We start from the raw sequence: 16,327 nt of genomic DNA, 5'->3' as shown, positions 1-16,327 counted from the left end.
CCCACCCCCCTACCTCCATACCAGGGAGCAGGTGAGTTGCCCAAGTCACCCTCAGCAAGGCCTCCTCTCCACTCAGTGGCCACTCTTAAGAACCGTCACTCTGTCCCCATTCTGGTCTCAGATTCCCATCCTGTTCAGTGGGATGGTGTGGACAAAGGCCGGGAACCAAGGCCATTCTGTGACAACTGCCCCTGCCCCCAATGCTGCCTTTTTGCCCCTCATAGGCCAACACAACCCTCTGTGACATCTCTAATATCCCTACTACGGGAATGACCTATTTTCTGCCACTGTCAAGGGGGCAAGGGCACTTGTGGTTGGGGTGGGTCGGGGAGAAGCTAGGTGTTAAGGTTGGGAAGTCTGGACTGGACTCTGGCTCCCACGTTCACTGACCCTCAATTGCAGGAAGTGACCTTATCTCTCAAGTCCAATTTCTTTGTTGGCAAAGTAGGAATAATGATGCCTACACCTTGGGGTTGATATGAGGCTCAGAGACACTCGATGACCGAGTGCTTAACATATCCGTGTTCTGCCATTTGCCAGCTGCATGACTTTGGACACATCCCCTGACCCCCCTGAGCCTCAGTGTTCTCATCTGTAAAATGGGGATAATAATACTGTCTCCAGGCCACATGCAGTGGCTCACACCTGTAATTCCAGAACTTTGGGAGGCCGAGATGGGAGGATCACCCAGGAGTTTGAGACCAGCTTGGGCAACATAGAAAGACCCTGTCTCTACTTAAAATTTAAAAATTAGCTGGGTGTAGTGGCACATGCCTGTGATTCCAGCTACTTGGGAGGCTGAGGTGGGAGGGTCATTTGAGCCAGGGAAGTCGAGGCTGCAGTGAGCCATGATCATGGCTACCCTCCAGCCTGGGAGACACAGTGAGACCCTGCCTCCAAAAAAAAAAGAAAGAAAGAAAATAGTGCCTCCCTCCTAGGGCAGCCATGAGGATTGGATGAGGTAATGCCTGTAAAGGGCTCAGTCCAGAGTAACCTCCTGATGAATGCCAACCTTAGTTCATGACTGTGGTAACAGAGGCAGGCTCCCTGAGGAGCGGCTGCTCCATGTTGGGGGTAAGATCTGTGTGGAACAGTCCAGGGCAGATCCATCTGTTGCGTTGATCGGAGGCTTGCCCTGCCTGGAACTGTCTGTACCGTGCCTGCCCCCAAAGCCCCAGGGAATCTCCTCTGCACGGGCAGGGGGACTAGACCTCATCCTGGAGGAGCGGGCCTGCCCCTGTCTCAGTGCCTGTGTAGATCTCTCCAGGCTGCCCCACTGGGGCCTGACAGTTCAGTTCCCTGGAGAAAGCCCCGGATGGTCCTATGGCTGGAGGGCTGGAATGTGACTCTCAGGATGTTTCCAAGATGGTTATTTCTGAATCAGAGTTGTGGTTAGGAGAGGCCTGTGCATTCCTGATGAGGGACACTGAGTCCATGCCAAGCCTCGGAGCCCGGAGCAGAAATCAAGGAGGGTACGCTTGGGATCCAGAAATTTGGATTTGTGGGAGGGTGTGTGGGAGAGAAAAGGGGTCTGAGAGCAGGGGCCTGGGGTTGTCCATGCAGAAGCTGTGCATTCAGTGTTGGATGGCAGCATCATCTTCAGCTTAGCACCGTCCCGGTGCTCCTGCAAGCCGTCAATAAAACTGTACTTGGTGTGAGCTCCAGAGTGGAACTTTGGCCCAGAAAAGGAAATGGGATAGGGGAGTCAAAAACTCCCTGGGGGCTGACAGAGGGCTGCTGGGTGAGCAGGGTGGGCGGGAAGTCAGGCAATCAGGATTCAGGTCACCATTACCCTTGGGTTCAACTGGAATCACAGGGCACCCACTGCTTCAACTGGGGTCATTGGGGCATTCACTGGTCAGGACTCAGGCAGGGGCACACAGATCGGGCCTATCCTCTGTCTTCCAGTGCTTGTCCACTCAAGTCCACACACCAGAGTCCAGAGCCCTCCAGGATCTGCTCACGAGTACATTTCCTTGGGCATGCTCATGCCCTGGCGTGTGTCATGCTCACCGCAGAAAGCTCTGGCTGCTGATCTTCACCTCCTGAAGTCCTCACGCATTGTTCAAACCTACCCCTGGACACCTTCTCAGACCCTTCTTTGGGTCACTGTACTTGGATTTAGCATGTGCACCATGCAACTTGTGCTTTTCAGATTCCACTGACCCAAGGCTCCTTGGGGAAGGCTCTAGGTCTTAGTTTTTCATTCTCTTGATGCCTCACATAGTGCCTGGCACACAGGAGATTTCGGGACATCTCAAATGATCTTTGGTTAACTGAACTGAAAGGAAGGCTGAAGCCAATTCAATTTGGAAGGGGACCCAGAGGGCCTCAGGGCCCCAAGGACACTCCTGAGTCCCACTCTGGGTGCTCAAACTCTCCAGGCTGCCCCTTTGAAGATAAATAAATCAAAGCATCTCAGGGTTGGGAAGAATCTTAAAAGCCATTTATTGTGACCCTTAGTGGGATATATGGGTGGTGTGATGGCCTTTTTGATGTGTCATCTTGGCTAGGCTAAAGCCCCTAGTTGTTCAATCCAATACCAATCTAGGACTGCTGTGAAGACATTCTGTAGATGTGATTAAAGTTCATAATGGGTTGTCTTTAAGTTTGGGAGATTATTCTAGATAATCTGGGTGGGCCTAATACAATCAGTTGAAAGCCATAAGAGTACTGCTGAAGCTCCCTCAAAGAAGAAATTCTGCCTGTGGACAGCAGTTTTAGCACATACTGAAGAGAGCTCCGGCCTGCCCTTCTTTTGTTTTGAGACAAGAGTCTCACTCTGTCACCCAGGTTGGAGTGCAGTGGTGCAATCTTGGCTCACTGCAACCTCCGCCTCCCAGGTTCAAGCAATTCTCCTGCCTCAGCCTCCTGAGTAGCTGGGATTACAGGTGCCCCCTACCATGCCCGGCTAATTTTTGTATTTTTAGTAGCAACAGGGTTTCACCATGTTGGCCAGGCTGGTCTTGAACTCCCAACCTCAAGTGATCCACCCGCCTTTGACTCCCAAAATGCTGGGACTACAGACATGAGCCACCACGCCCGACCCAGCCTGCCCTTATTGATGGCCTGCCGTATGGATCTCAAATTTGCCAAGCCAGCCCCTACCAGCCTATACACCAATTCCTTGCAACACATCTCTTAATATGTATCTCCTACCAGTTCTGCTTCTGTGGTGGAACCCTGGCTGATACAAGTGGCTTTTGTAGTACGTCCATCCAGTGTCTGCTTGTATACTTCCTGTGATGGGAAGCTCACTACCTCTTGAGGCAGTGCAATTCATCTTTGGTCAGCTTCAATTTTAACAAGTTCTGCTTTACAGTGAACTAAATCAAGTCTTTCTATGAGCTTTACCCACTGCTGCTGGTTCAACCCCTTGGACACACTCAGAGCAAGATTGGTTCTTTCACCTCACAATAGCCCAGCAGATATTTGAAGTTGGGACTCATGCTGTCCATGCCCGCTCTACCAAGTGTCTCTCATTTGACCTGCTGCTCCTCTCCTCTGACAGTCCCCCAGGTTGTTGATGCCCCTTTTAAAGTTTGCATACACACATGGCCCAAAGAAAACAGGTCTTGTGCTACTATCTGCATTCCACACTGTAGCCTGCAGCAGGGTGAGTGTCTGGTAGCACTCTCTCTCATTTTCTCTCTCTCTCTGTCATGTGAGGATGTGAGGACACAGTGAGAAGATGGCTATCTGTAAGCCAGGAAGCCAGCTCTCACAGCCACTGGATCCACACACACTGGGGCCTACTCGAGGGTGGAGGGTAGAAGGAGAGAGAGGATCAGGAAAAATAACTAATAGGTCCTAGGCTTAGTACCTCGGTGATGAAATAATCTGTACAAAAACCCCCCCATGTCACAGGTTTACCTATATAACAAACCTGAATGTGTATCCCTGAACTTAAAATAAAAGTTTTTATTTATTGATTGATTGATTGAGACAGGGTCTGTCTCTGTTGCCCAGGCTGGAGTACAGTGGCGCTTTCTTGGCTCACTGCAATCTCCGCCTCCTGGGTTCAAGTGATTCTCCCACCCCAGCTCCCTGAATAGCTAGGACTACAGGCATGCGCCACCACGCCTCACTAATTTTTGTATTTTTAGTAGAGACAGGGTTTCACCATGTTGGCCAGGCTGGTCTCAGACTTTTGACCTCAAGTGATCCCCTGCCTTGGCCTCCAAAGTGTTGGGATCACAGGCATGAGCCACTGCGCCAGGCAAAATAAAAGTTTTTAAAAAATGTGTGTTGTTCAAGCCCCCAGTCTACAGTAATTTATGATAGCAGCCCAAACTAAGACAGGCTGATGATATGAGGGAGGAGCCAGTTTCCCGCTCTGATGTTTAATCTCTGGGGTACCGGTTTTCCATTGATCTAAGGTGCCTTCCTGGCAGACAGGGGAGGAAATGGCAACAACTGAGGACCAGTGGTCCCCTGTTCCCTGGCCTCCTCATGGGGCAAGCCCTTCTCCACTTCTCTCCTCCCTTTCCATCCACCTTCTCCACTTCCCTTTCTTCTACCTCACGGTGCCAGCTACAGCACCCGGCTCCACCCAGGCTCTCTAGCTGGCTCCTATGGGGCAAGACATAGCATTGCTCCAGCCTCAGGGAAGCGGCCACAGCTCCTGGGCCCTCAGCTCTGACATTTTACCACCAGATTCCCAAGGTCTTTTCCAGCTGCAGACGTTCTTTTTCTTAAAACTGTGGTCCACACATCTCATGGCTATTCCCAGATGTCAGGTCTCCAGGTTCTTTAGAGCCTTGCTACTCAAAATGTGGACAATGGATCTGATCCACAGCATCAGTGTCCCTTGGGGGCTTTTTGGAAATGCAGAATCTCAGGCTCTGCCCCAGACCTGCTGATTCAGAATCTGCATTTACACCAGATCAACCAGGTTATTCCCTGCACATTACAGTTTGAGAAGTATTGACTTAGAGAACTCTGCATTGCTGAGCTGGCCTCCTCAGTTCCCTCTGTGGACTGCTTCCTCTATACAGATGGGAGGACTGAGGTACACCAGGGAAGTGTCTGCTCCTTCCATGATCACAGAGCCAGCAAAGAGACAGACAGAGTGAGAGAGAGAGAGACAGAGAGAGAGATATGATGATGATGATGGTGATGATGATGATGATGGTGATGATGATGATGATGGTGATGATGATGATGAAGAGGGAGAAGCAGAAGCAGCAACAGCAAACAATTTGTCTAAGACCTCTCTAGCATGAAGGCCAGCCTCCTGCCCCACATTCCTGGCAGCCACATGGCCCCTTCACTAAGGGATCTTTGCTGTGTCACTGGAGGAAGCAGGGGTAGTAAGGAACTTGCTTTTGTGAAGGGTGAGGATGGGATGTCAGGCCCAGCCAGAGAGGCCACCAGCCCAGGAGAACTGGAGCTGTGGCTCCAGGCCACAGTTGAGGCTGGCTCTAGCAAATGGGAAAGTGAAGGTGTGACTTGTGGCAGTAGCTTGGGGATGCTGGCTCCAGCTAAGGGGAAGGTCTCTGGGAGCCACCTGGGAGCTGCTGTAGCATGGGCAGTTTCTGCACAATGAGAGAATGTGGACAGACAGGGAGGCGGTGGCATCAGCTGGGCGGTTGACTGCTCTTTGTGCTGCCACGAAAGACATTTGTCATGTGGCTCTCTGAGGACCAGAGGCTGGCGGAGGGGTCAGGAAACAGGGCTCTATGCCCAGCTCTGATGATAGCTGTAAGCATGACCCTTCTCCAGCCTGGATTTTAGTCTCCAAACTGTGAACTGAGAGGATTGGAGCTAAAATTCTGTTCTCTCTTTGGGCTAAATGCTCTATCCATAGTTCTGAGGGCAAGAGACCCTGAAGCTGAGCCCACAACTGAGCACCCTGCATAGACCCTGGTACCCATCTGCCACCGCTAGCTGTGCTCACATGGAAGGAGTCGCAGAGGCTCCATGGGGAGTGGGGGTTGCATGACTCCATGAAGAAATACTCCCTACAGACCTGGGTGCAAGTCCTGGTGCTGTCATTTTATATTTGTAGGGTCCTGCCCAGATTTCTGAACTTCTCTGAGCGTCCTTTTCCTTGACTGTGCAGGATGATGCCGCCTGCCGTCCTGGAGCAGTGTGGAGATTCTGGTGACAGGAAATGTTGTGGACAGCACCCGACCTGTTACAGACACTTGTCCGTTCCCTGTGTCCAAGGTGGAGAGGGAGTGGAGGAGGGAGTGTCCGTCCTGGGTCTCCACTGAGCTTGGCCTAGACCCCCAGTGGTCTCAGTTAGAGTCTGGTCTCCACTTGCTGCTGGCTGACTGCAGGGAAATCATTTCTACATTTTTTTAATTACAAAATCAACTCACAGATTCACCGTTTGTGCAGCCAGCTGAAAGCTGTTTATAGTGGTGATTTGCACTACATTCATCTGTGCTTGTTTATGTTTGCTTTGAAAATACTTATTGTGTTTGTCCTGTCCCCACTGTGGCCAGGCGTGTGTCTTCTATTTCTGTCCTGTTCTCACCCCCACTCTCTCCATGCTCCAGCCCCTAACGGTAATGCGTGGAAACGGGACCTGCAGACAGGAGGCATGGCACAGTCAGAAAGATCTCTGGCCAAACACACTCCGTAGTTTCTCCTACCACCGTGTACCTTTCTCCTTGGCTGGCTTTCTTTCTTTCTTTCTTTCTTTCTTTCTTTCTTTCTTTCTTTCTCTCTCTTTCCTTCCTTTTTTTTTTTTTTCTGAGACGGAGTCTTGCTGTGTTGCCCAGGCTGGGGTGCAGTGGCGCGATCTTGGCTCACTGCAACCTCTGCCTCCCAGGTTTAAGCGATTCTCCTGCCTCAGCCTCCTGCATAGCCGGGATCACAGGCGTGTGCTACCATGCCCGGCTAAGTTTTGTATTTTTAGTAGAGGAAGGGTTTCACCATTGTTGACCAGGCTGGTCTTGAACTCCTGACCTCACGCGATCTGCCCACCTCGGCTTCCCAAAGTGCTGTGATTACAGGTGTGAGCCACCACACCCAGCCCCTGGCTAGCTTTCTGCAAGGTCTGCCCACCTCAGCCTCCCAAAGTGCTGGGATTACAGGTATGAGCCACCACGCCCAGCCCCTTGCTAGCTTTCTGCTCTGAGGAGGAGCAGGAGCCTGGACAGTTAGGGAAACACCAGGCATGGCTGAGGAGCGGGGAGATGGGGGGTGGGGAGTGGGATTGGGAAGATAAGGGGAAAGGGTGTGGCAATCTCCTGGCCCTCAACCTCACTGTTCCCACCTGTTAGGAAGCAGCAGAAGTAGCCGTGGTCATGGTAACCCTTGGGAGACAGAGCAGTTCCTTGGTAAGGCAAGTAATAATGCACAAACAATAGTATTAATAACAATAATAATGGCAAATTATTAAGTGCCTTCTCTGTACCAGGCACTTTCTTTTTATGATCCCATTTAATCCTGGCAGGCAGATATTATTATCCCCACTTTGTAAATGACAAAACAAGCTCAGAGAGATTAGATAATGTGTCCAAGGACATACAGCTAGTGGCAGTAGGGGAATGGGGATAGGGTGGATTGAGATGAACCCAGGCACTCCAGCTTCCAAGTCAGTGCCTATGTTCCTCCGCTGCCCTGCAGAAATTGTGGGGTCGAAGCACGCCCACGGGCTAGCCTGTGGGCAGGAAGGAAATGCCAACTGAGGTGGGTGCCGGGACTTTCCTAGGCTGGGCTACCCTTCCTTCACCTTGGAAAGTCGAAAGAGGCCTCGAACAATGGAGTGATGAGCTGCCAGAGGCCTGAGTGCTAAGAGAGATGGTGGGATGTGGGGGACAGGCTGGAGGATGCAGAGAACACCAGTGCAGGCACTGGAAGGCCTGGCTTCTAGTCAGGGTCATACTCTCAACTCCCTGTGTGAGTGTGGACAAGCCGCTCACCTCTCTGGGTGTTTGGAAGATTGCTAATGTCTCCTTCTCTTATTTTAGGACCTCTGGGATTTTGGGGGTGGCAGGTCACATCTGTACTCTCCTTCTTGAAAAGATGTAAAAAGTATAGGTTTCCTCATGAATCACCTGCTTGAGTTCACAGTCTAAGGGTTCTCAGGCCATGTGGTGGGTGACGGGAGGTGGTGCTCAGCTGAGCACAGGCTGGAAGCTGGGGAAAGAGCGGAACAGAAGGTTTTCTGCCCCAGCCCCATCAGCGAATCAATCACCTGGTCTCTTTGTTGTTGCCTTAGAGCCAAAAAGATTCCCAGGACCTGCAGTGGGAGAATGGGCACCTGCGAGCCCATGGCAGGTGCCCATGGCGGGTGCTGGGCACAGCTGTGACAAGTCGTCTGGTTTGGTCAGGGGCCAGGGTGTGGCAAGCAGCAGGCCTGACTGGAGTGTGCTCGAGCAGGAAGCCCCCTGCTTCTGGGGAGGGCTTTGCTGGGGAAAAGGCAAGCCTTGGCTTCTAGGTGCCCTAGGCTGGAGTGCAATGGTGCGATCTCGGCTCACTGCAGCCTCTGCCTTCTGCGTTCAAGTGATTCTCATGCCTCAGCCTCCTGAGTAGCTGGGACTACAGGCATGAACCACCATGCCTGGCTAATTTTTGTATTTTTAGTAGAGACTGGGTTTTGCCATGTTGTCCGGGCTGGTCTGGACCTCCTGGCCTCAAGCGATCTGTCTACTTCTGCCTCCGCCTCCCAAAGTGCTGGGATTACCGGTGTCAGCCACTGCACCCAGCATGGAATGGGCTCTTGAAATGGAGAAAGAATTCGTGAAAAATTCAGGGCAGGAGAGTCAGAGAGGTCCAATTGAATCTGGGCAAGTGCCATGCTTCCGAGGCCTGAGGCCATGGGGGAGTCATCTACCCTCAGAGCCTCAGGTTCCTCAGCTGAAAAATGGGGGTAATAATGCCTATCTAGAGAGGTTGGTGAGAGAATTAAATAAGGGGGTACAAATGAAGCGTCTAGTATAGAGCCTGCCACAAAGTAAATAATAAATGGTGGTTGCCATTGTTATTGTTGTTGCTGCTGCTGTTGTTAATAAAAATAATAAATAAGTATCCTGAACAAGTAGAAGGAGTAGGGGACTGGGGGTTAGGTTTTTGCTACCCTCTGACTGTGTGATTTCTGTCACCTCTCTGACTCCTTATCTGTCAGAGCAGGGGGTGGTACCAGCTGATCTCCGAAGCCCCTTCCTGCTCTGACAGCCTCTGAGCTATGAATAGATGAGGCTTGGGCCCTGGAGGAGTTTAATGACTCAACAGCTAAAGTGGTTAAGACTTCCTAAGAAATGACTTTCTATTACTGTTGGGTGAACTTAGGGCACCAGCAAAGGAAGGGTTTCCTGGCTGGGAGACCAGGGATAGGGAGCTGGAGGAATCCTTCCAGCCAGTGGAGACGGTGACTAACCAGGTGAATGACTAAGAAAGAACCTGCTGACCTCCAACCAATCAGGGCTGCCCATGAGCACCCTGTGAGCTGGCATCACTAAGCACGGCTTGGCTGTGTCAGGCCTGGCTGGGTCTGAGCTTCATAGCATATGGAGTCAAAGGAAGCAGCCAAAAGACCAGCAGGGAAAGAGCACTGGGCTTGGAGTCAGAAGACCCAGCTTCCCACTCTGACTCTGCTGCTTACCAGCTGGGTGACTGGGGGAGCCGCTTCCCTTCCCTGAGCCTTCACGCCTTCATCCATGCAGCAGAGCTAACAATACCTGCCCAGCAACTTCACCAAGTCATGAAGACTGAGAATCATGACAAGAGATGCAAGTGCATTGTGATCACTAAGGTAGCAAATGATGGGAAGTGCTGTCATTATTCCATCCCAATGGGACACCCGGTATCTCAGAATGAGACTCATTCATGTTTTCAAAGGGGTCAGGTGAACACAGGCTGCTGCCCTTGGGTTTGGGGCCATTATCAGCCTAACTAAGGCCCCTTTCTACCATCTGATCACAGCCCAAATAGGTTTTTCTTAGAGCAGAGCCCCTGTGGACAGCTTCCAGCAAGGTGGCATAGCCACAGTGGAAGGCAACACAAAGCCAGGATGGTCAGGTGGGGCAGGGAGGGAGGGGCCCCCACAGAACCAGGGGGGTGGTCTGATGTTGTCTTTCCTCTTGCCCAGCACTTTATAAATAAATAATCACCAGAACCGCACTCTGTCTGCCTCTCCCCCCATGGCTTTTAGCGTCTCTCTTGGTGAGGACTGCAAGCACTTTGGGAAACGGCAGAGGAAGAGGGAAGGATGCTACCCTTTCATTTCTGCACACCTTAAACCCATCAATAGCATTCTGTGTGTGCTCACAGCCTCTGGGTACTATGCTGGCACTTGGAGCACAGAGACAGGAACTGCAGGACCTGCCCACATGGAGGTTGAGTACAGTGTGGTCAAAGAGACAAAACACTTCCCCTATAATGCAAATAACCATTCAAAACAGCCAACAGCGTGTCACCCAGATCATCCTCACAGTGAGACCTGCAGTTGTCCAGAGCAGTGGCCTGGGAGGCTTTGAGGAGGAGGGGGGATTTGAGCTGGACCTGGAAGGTTAGCATGGACAAGATAAATAGAAGGTAGAGCCAGGCGCAGTGGCTCACACCTGTAATCCCAGCACTTTGGGAGGCCCAGGTGAGAGGATCGCTTGAGGCCAGGGGTTTGAGGTTGTGCTGAACTATGATTACACCACTGCATTCCAGCCTGGGTGAGACAGAGTGAGACTCTTTCTCTCAAAAAAAGAAAAAAGAAAAGAAAAAGGGCAGAGAAAAAGGCATGCCAGACAGGCATACTTAAGGTATTCTCAGAGGACAGGTTGGCAGCTATCGAGAGGGATCACATAAGTAAGAAGTGAGATGTGAAGTCAGACATAGAGGTTGGAGCCAGGTATGGAGATCCTCAAAATTTGAGATAAGGAGCATAGACCAGATTCCATGGACAGTGGAGAGTCATTGAGGGATTCCAAGAAGGGAATTGGTTTGGTGACAGCTGAGTTTTTCTTTCTGGCAGCATTGTCCAGGGGAGCATGCCTTGTTGTGGGGTAGGCAGGGAGGTCAGTTGGGAGGTTACTATGAAGCTGGGGACCATGGGCCTGAGAAGGAAAGGGGACACGCGTGAAGGCTTGACGTGTGGAAAAGAGGGAGAGAGAGGGTCCAAAGATGTTCAGTCTGATTCTTTTGATTCTCCAGACAGCTAAACAGCTACTGAAACCCTGGCAAATAGTAGTGGGGTGTGAGAGTGGAAGAGACTGCAGACCAAATCTGGGCTGGTGTTTTTCAGGAAGCGGGCTCCTCTTTGGGCAGACCTAAGTCTGATCATCCTATCCTAAACTCACAGGACCAGTAGGACCCAGAGGTGCCCCAGCTGGGCCACATCCACTCCCAGGGCCCTTTCCTCCCTCTTCCAAGAGAAGAATCCAGAAACGACACAGCATAGCTCCCCATGGTCCCCAGGGAGCCGTAGATTCTTGGAACAGTGTCCTGCAGTGGATAGACCGCAGGAAGAGTGTCTAGTCCTGCCTTTTACTCCCTCAGCTCCTGTTGACTCCCAGGAAAACAATGCCATCTTCATGGGCTGCGCTAAGTGGCAACGAACCCCTGGGAGTCTGATCAAGGCAGGGAAGGGGACTAGGGAGAGGAGAGGGAACAGTAAAGACAGAGGAAACTGCTTCTGGAGGCATCTCAATGGGCTTTGGGGGAAGGTGGGTTTCATCTCAGAATCCAAGCACGTCGGGGCTGGGGAGGAGCTCTTGAGATCATTTTGGCCACCCCTCCTTGTCTGGAGGTGAGCCTGAGACCCAGACAGGGGAAGGGACTTGCCCAAGGTCATATATCACGGTAGTGATGGAGCTGGGCTGAAATCATAGGGTGTTGGGGACAGGTAAGGTGTTATTCCCGTCTGGACAGTTTTGAATAGCACCACCAAGGGCCTGGCTAGAGATTCCTTTCCTGGGCAACGTTTGTTCTCTCTCTCTCTCTCTGTCTCTCTCTCTGTGTGTGTGTGTGTGTGTGCCCGCCCTGTGTGTACCCTGTGAGTGCCTGTGTGTATCTGTGTGCATGTGTGCCTATGCCTGTGTTGTCTGACAGTCTGGGTGTACGTGTGGCCTCCTACATGGTGATCTGCCCTGGCTTGGAAAGAACTGGGGTTATTCCTGTGAGGTGACTGTTTTGCTGGGACAGCAGAGAAGAAGGCTGACAAGGCCAGATCTGGCTTCCCGCACCAATTCTGCCGCTCTGAGAAAATCACAGGCACTGACTGGTGGCGACCAAACTCCTGGAGCTGAAACACGCAGACACACGTACACTCACAGCCGCCGTTATAGGGTGGCCCCAAGTGCCCCGAAGTGCCGCATTCCGACATCCTCATGCCTCCCCAGAGCCCAGCAGGTGTAGACCTGCTAGGCTGTGGAAGCCGATCCTCAGGGATACGGAGCACTGGCGCTCTCCCGCCGCTCACTCTCAGCGCCCTGTTCAGGGCCTGGCCCGGCCACACCCCTCCTGCCCGAGCCTCCGCCGGTCGTCCCTGCCCCTCTCACACACTTCGGAGTCCCTGGGGGCCTATGCAACATGGCAGGGCCAAGTTAGGGCTGGCCCGGCCGGAGAGTCAGGTCCGGAGCCAGGAATCGACGCCTCCCCGAGTTCCGTCCCCGCGGAGCACACACGCCAGGCTGAACTCGGGTTTCTGCGAGCGCAGGGTTCGGCGCCCAGCCCCTCTCGGGGGAGCCCCCGCCCCCAGCCCCAGCCGGCCCCGGACGACTCCCGGAGCCCCGCGCCCAGCCCTGGGTTCCCGCCCCCCGCCCGGCGAGCCGTTACCGATGGTGGTGATGACGGTGATGGCGAAGTAGAAGGAGCCGGCGAAGCGCCACTGCACGCCGGCCTTGTGCGGCTTGAGGCGCAGCACGACGCGCTCCAGCTCCTCGTAGCCGCCCTGGCTGAGGTTGTAGCGCGCCCGCAGCTCCTGCTGCCGCAGCTCCAGCCGCTGCCGCTCGATCAGCTCGGGCTCCGACTCCAGCGCGTCGAAGACCGCGGCGCCCACCAGCAGGTAGGTGAAGGTGCACACGATGAGCGCCAGCGTGCGCACGTTCTGCCGCTTCATCGTCCCGCCCGGGCCGCCGCCGGCCCCCCGGCGCCCCCGGCCCGCGCCTCGGCCCCGGCCGCCGCTGCTGCTGCCCCGGAGGCGGCCTGGGGCATGGCTGCGCTCGCCGCTCTCCGCGCCGGGCACCCGCTCAGCGCCCGGGGCCGCCGCCGCCGCCGCCGCCGCGGAGCTGTCCCTTCAGCACCACCCACCGCCCTCCTCCGCCCGGCCCCGCGCCCGCCCCCCGCCCCCCGCCCGCAGGCCGCCTCCTCCCGCCAGCCCTCCCGCCCAGCCAAATAAGGACTGGGGAGACGCGCCGAGGAGGGAGGAGGGGGGCTGGCGGAGGGGACGGGAGGGGCGGCCGCGAGAGAGCCCGGGCAGGACAGAGAGAGAGAAAGAGAGAGAGAGCGAGCCCGAGAGACAGAGAAAACTAGACAGCGAAACGCTGATAACTACGGAGAATGGGAGAAAGGCAGTGTAGGACTGAGGGAAGGGGGCTGTGTGACAGAGGAGGAGATAAAATCAGAGGTGCACTCAGACAGAAAAAGAAGAGAGGCGGGCAGAAAAATACAGAGCAAAAGATGGAAACAGAGAGAGCAACAGACTGAGACAGAGAGGCCTGGATTGCTGGAGATAAACTAATGACAGAGAAACAGACAGGAAGGCAAGGAAGGCAGAGCGAGCCCCTCCCCACCCCACCCTCCACCCTCATCACAGCATATTGCAGCCAGGAGGCACTTGGGGCCTCGCTGTCCTGCCCTTATCCTATGGATGAGGAAATGGAGGCCCAGAGAGGTCAAGTGACACGCATGGGCACGCAGTGATTTCGTGACAGCACTGGGACTCAGCCAAGCGTTCCTTCCTCCCAGGCCACACTCCTTCCTCCCTTGGGCCAGACTCTGGCTGTCTTGGAAGCAGGCAGGGCCCAGCTGTGGACCTGGGCACACATGAGCTGACACCCAAGGGAAAGCCCTGTTCTCAGGCAATGTGTGCCTTCCCAGGTCAGCACAGTTCTTGGAACTGGCTGAGAAGGCACAGGCTGGGAGTCTAGGCCTCCTGCTTCGCTCCCAGGGGCTTCTAGGCTGTCCCGACTCCCATGGTTCCTGTCTTGCACCCGTGCACCAGGCTGGGCTTAGGCTGAGTTGCCAGAGATAGCACCTGCCACCACCTTAGGGCATCCCAGCAGAACCGGGATCTAGCTGGAATTGGGCAGGTGGGGCCCAGAGCAGGAGGCTCACTGGCAGACTGCGGGAACTGGGGCAGGAGAGGGGGTCCCTATGCCTCAGTTTCTTCATTTGTCAAACATGGTGGCTATGGTGGTGAGGTGGGAAGGGTAGTGGAAACTCAGGCATTACTGACCCTCTCAGAGCCTTGTTTCCTTATCTTTTCAACGAGGTGTCGTAGCAGATGATCCCACAGGCCTTGCCCAGCTCTAAACAACTCCAGACTTGGATGGGCTGAGTGAGCAGAATGATTGGAATGCAAATCTCAGTGCCAAGAAGGGTTAAAAAGTCCTTCACAGGACCCTGGCATGGGCCAGGCAGAGAGACAGGGAAGAGACACCAAGGCCCCTGACTGAGAGCAGACTCAGGAGGCAGTCAGCCAGAAGCTGGAGCACTGTCTACCCACAGGCTGGGCTGACCTGTCACTGCCGGACACTACACTCCTCCAATGACACCCCAGAAGTGCCACCAACCCCTTCATTCCTTCAACAAGTATTTATTAAGCATCTGTTGTGTGTCAGGGATTCATCATCTCTGGTCCTCACCACAATCCTGAAAGGTAGGTGTGGTCATGCCTATTTTATAGATGGGGAAACTGAGGCTAAAGGCAATGTAGAGAATCAGTAAATTTCACTCAGCTGGGAAGAGGCTTCAGTCTGTCTGCCTCTTAAGCCCATGCTCTTTGCCATGACTCCTTGAGTCTCTCTTTTTTTTTTTTCAATTTGTAAAGTGGAATAGATAATAATATTAGCTCTACCCGCGTCTTGAACCATTTGTTTTGAGAGATCAAAGAAGAACACATGTGTGCAAATCAGATGATATGAGGCTCTCTAATGACTTCAGAGCCCAATGGGAGGGTCCTACATTTATAGCACCATGTTCCCCCTCCCTCTTCAAGGGAAGATCTTTGTTTCTTTGCAGGCACAGAATTTCTGGTCTTGCCCTCTGACCAGCAACTCAGCCTATTGCAGGCTTTTCCCCTTTGCATCTTCTGGCTCCCTGGAAGGAAAGTACTGCCTTTCCCAGCTTCTCAGAGGTGAAGGTACAAGTTAGGTTCTGTGCATTTCTGATGTATTGGCTCCTGGTGACAGTCACCCCAGAAGCGAATTCCCCCAAAGCCTGTCTAGATGAGCAAGAGGGTTGCTAGACCAGGTTTTCAAGGTGAAAAGGCTGTGTCCAGGTTCTGCTTGCTTGTGACTGCCAGGCCAGACAGCTGTACCGATGAAAGGTGATATTATGAGTGAAAGAGCTTTGGAAAAGGGAAAAAGCTGTCTTTAGGGGCAGGGCATGTATTATTAATCATGATGAAGCTTTTTCTCTGAGCACTTCAATACTGAAAGGACCTTTAGAGATCATTTAGCCCAACCTTCTCATGTTACATATGAGGAAACTGAGGCCCAGACAGTAGGAAGAGTGTTGTCCAAGGTCACACAGTGAGTGAGGGGGAACCAGGACTCATGTCCCAAGGTTGGCACTTTCTTGTTGCACCTATTATGTGTGGGACCAGGGCACCTATCAGTGGGGAGGCCCTGAAGCCCAGAGGGCAGCCTAGGTCTCCTTCTTCCTGCCCCTCCTCTCTCCTTCTCTTGGGGAGAAGGTTCTGGAATAGGAGCCATGTTGGTACCAGTCTAGGTTTCTGAGTAGCCCCTGGGACTTGTAGGCAACCTGGGTCAGATTGTGCCAAAGACATATCAGCTTATCCCATTTCTTCCCATCCTGGGCTCCTCAGACCTGCCTGTGCCTGCCCAGTGTCAACCTGTCTCTGCCACCTGTTTGCTCTGGCATTGGGGGCCAGTCGCTCCTTCTCCTTGAGGCTTGCTGCTCATCCATCAGTGGAGGGGTCTGGACCAGGAAATGTCCACACTCCCTTCATTTATAGCATCCCATGACCTTCCCGGACTCTGTTTCTCTAGTTCTCCCAATAATCAGACAAAAAGAGGAAATAGCACTACTTTTAAGATTCTAGTTTGTGAGGAAAGGGACACAGAGTTAGGTAGGATAAATTGAACAGAATGTGTCATTAGTTACTATATTTTATTATATACTAACATCATACACAATTATTAACCAGCTTTATCTTCCAGTCCATTCTTCTCTAAGTTCTAAACACATCCAAGTA

General features: G+C 53.1%; 1 protein-coding gene across 1 annotated transcript in view, besides 1 other annotated feature; it reads right to left on the bottom strand.

Annotated features, from left to right (window-relative positions):
- Positions 1 to 13,160, bottom strand: part of KCNK3 (potassium two pore domain channel subfamily K member 3) — a 40,699-nt gene extending 27,539 nt beyond the window's left edge. The window contains exon 1 of the mRNA NM_002246.3: positions 12,724 to 13,160. Within this exon, the coding sequence (NP_002237.1) occupies positions 12,724 to 13,006 (283 nt within the window). The 5' untranslated portion in view covers positions 13,007 to 13,160. The remainder of the gene's footprint in view (positions 1 to 12,723) is intronic.
- Positions 8,324 to 8,825: an enhancer, noted in NCBI's record as "H3K4me1 hESC enhancer chr2:26919925-26920426 (GRCh37/hg19 assembly coordinates)". NCBI's record gives its function as "activates a minimal SCP1, AML or CMV promoter by ChIP-STARR-seq in primed H9 embryonic stem cells {active_cell/tissue: H9 hESC(primed)}" and the evidence as "EXISTENCE:reporter gene assay evidence [ECO:0000049][PMID:30033119]".

Source organism: Homo sapiens, chromosome 2, assembly GCF_000001405.40.
Source record: "Homo sapiens chromosome 2, GRCh38.p14 Primary Assembly".
In the NCBI taxonomy this organism is placed as follows: Eukaryota; Metazoa; Chordata; class Mammalia; order Primates; family Hominidae; genus Homo; species Homo sapiens.
The sequence above is the reverse complement of the archived record's forward strand: the minus strand, read 5'-3'. Positions and strand labels throughout refer to the sequence as shown.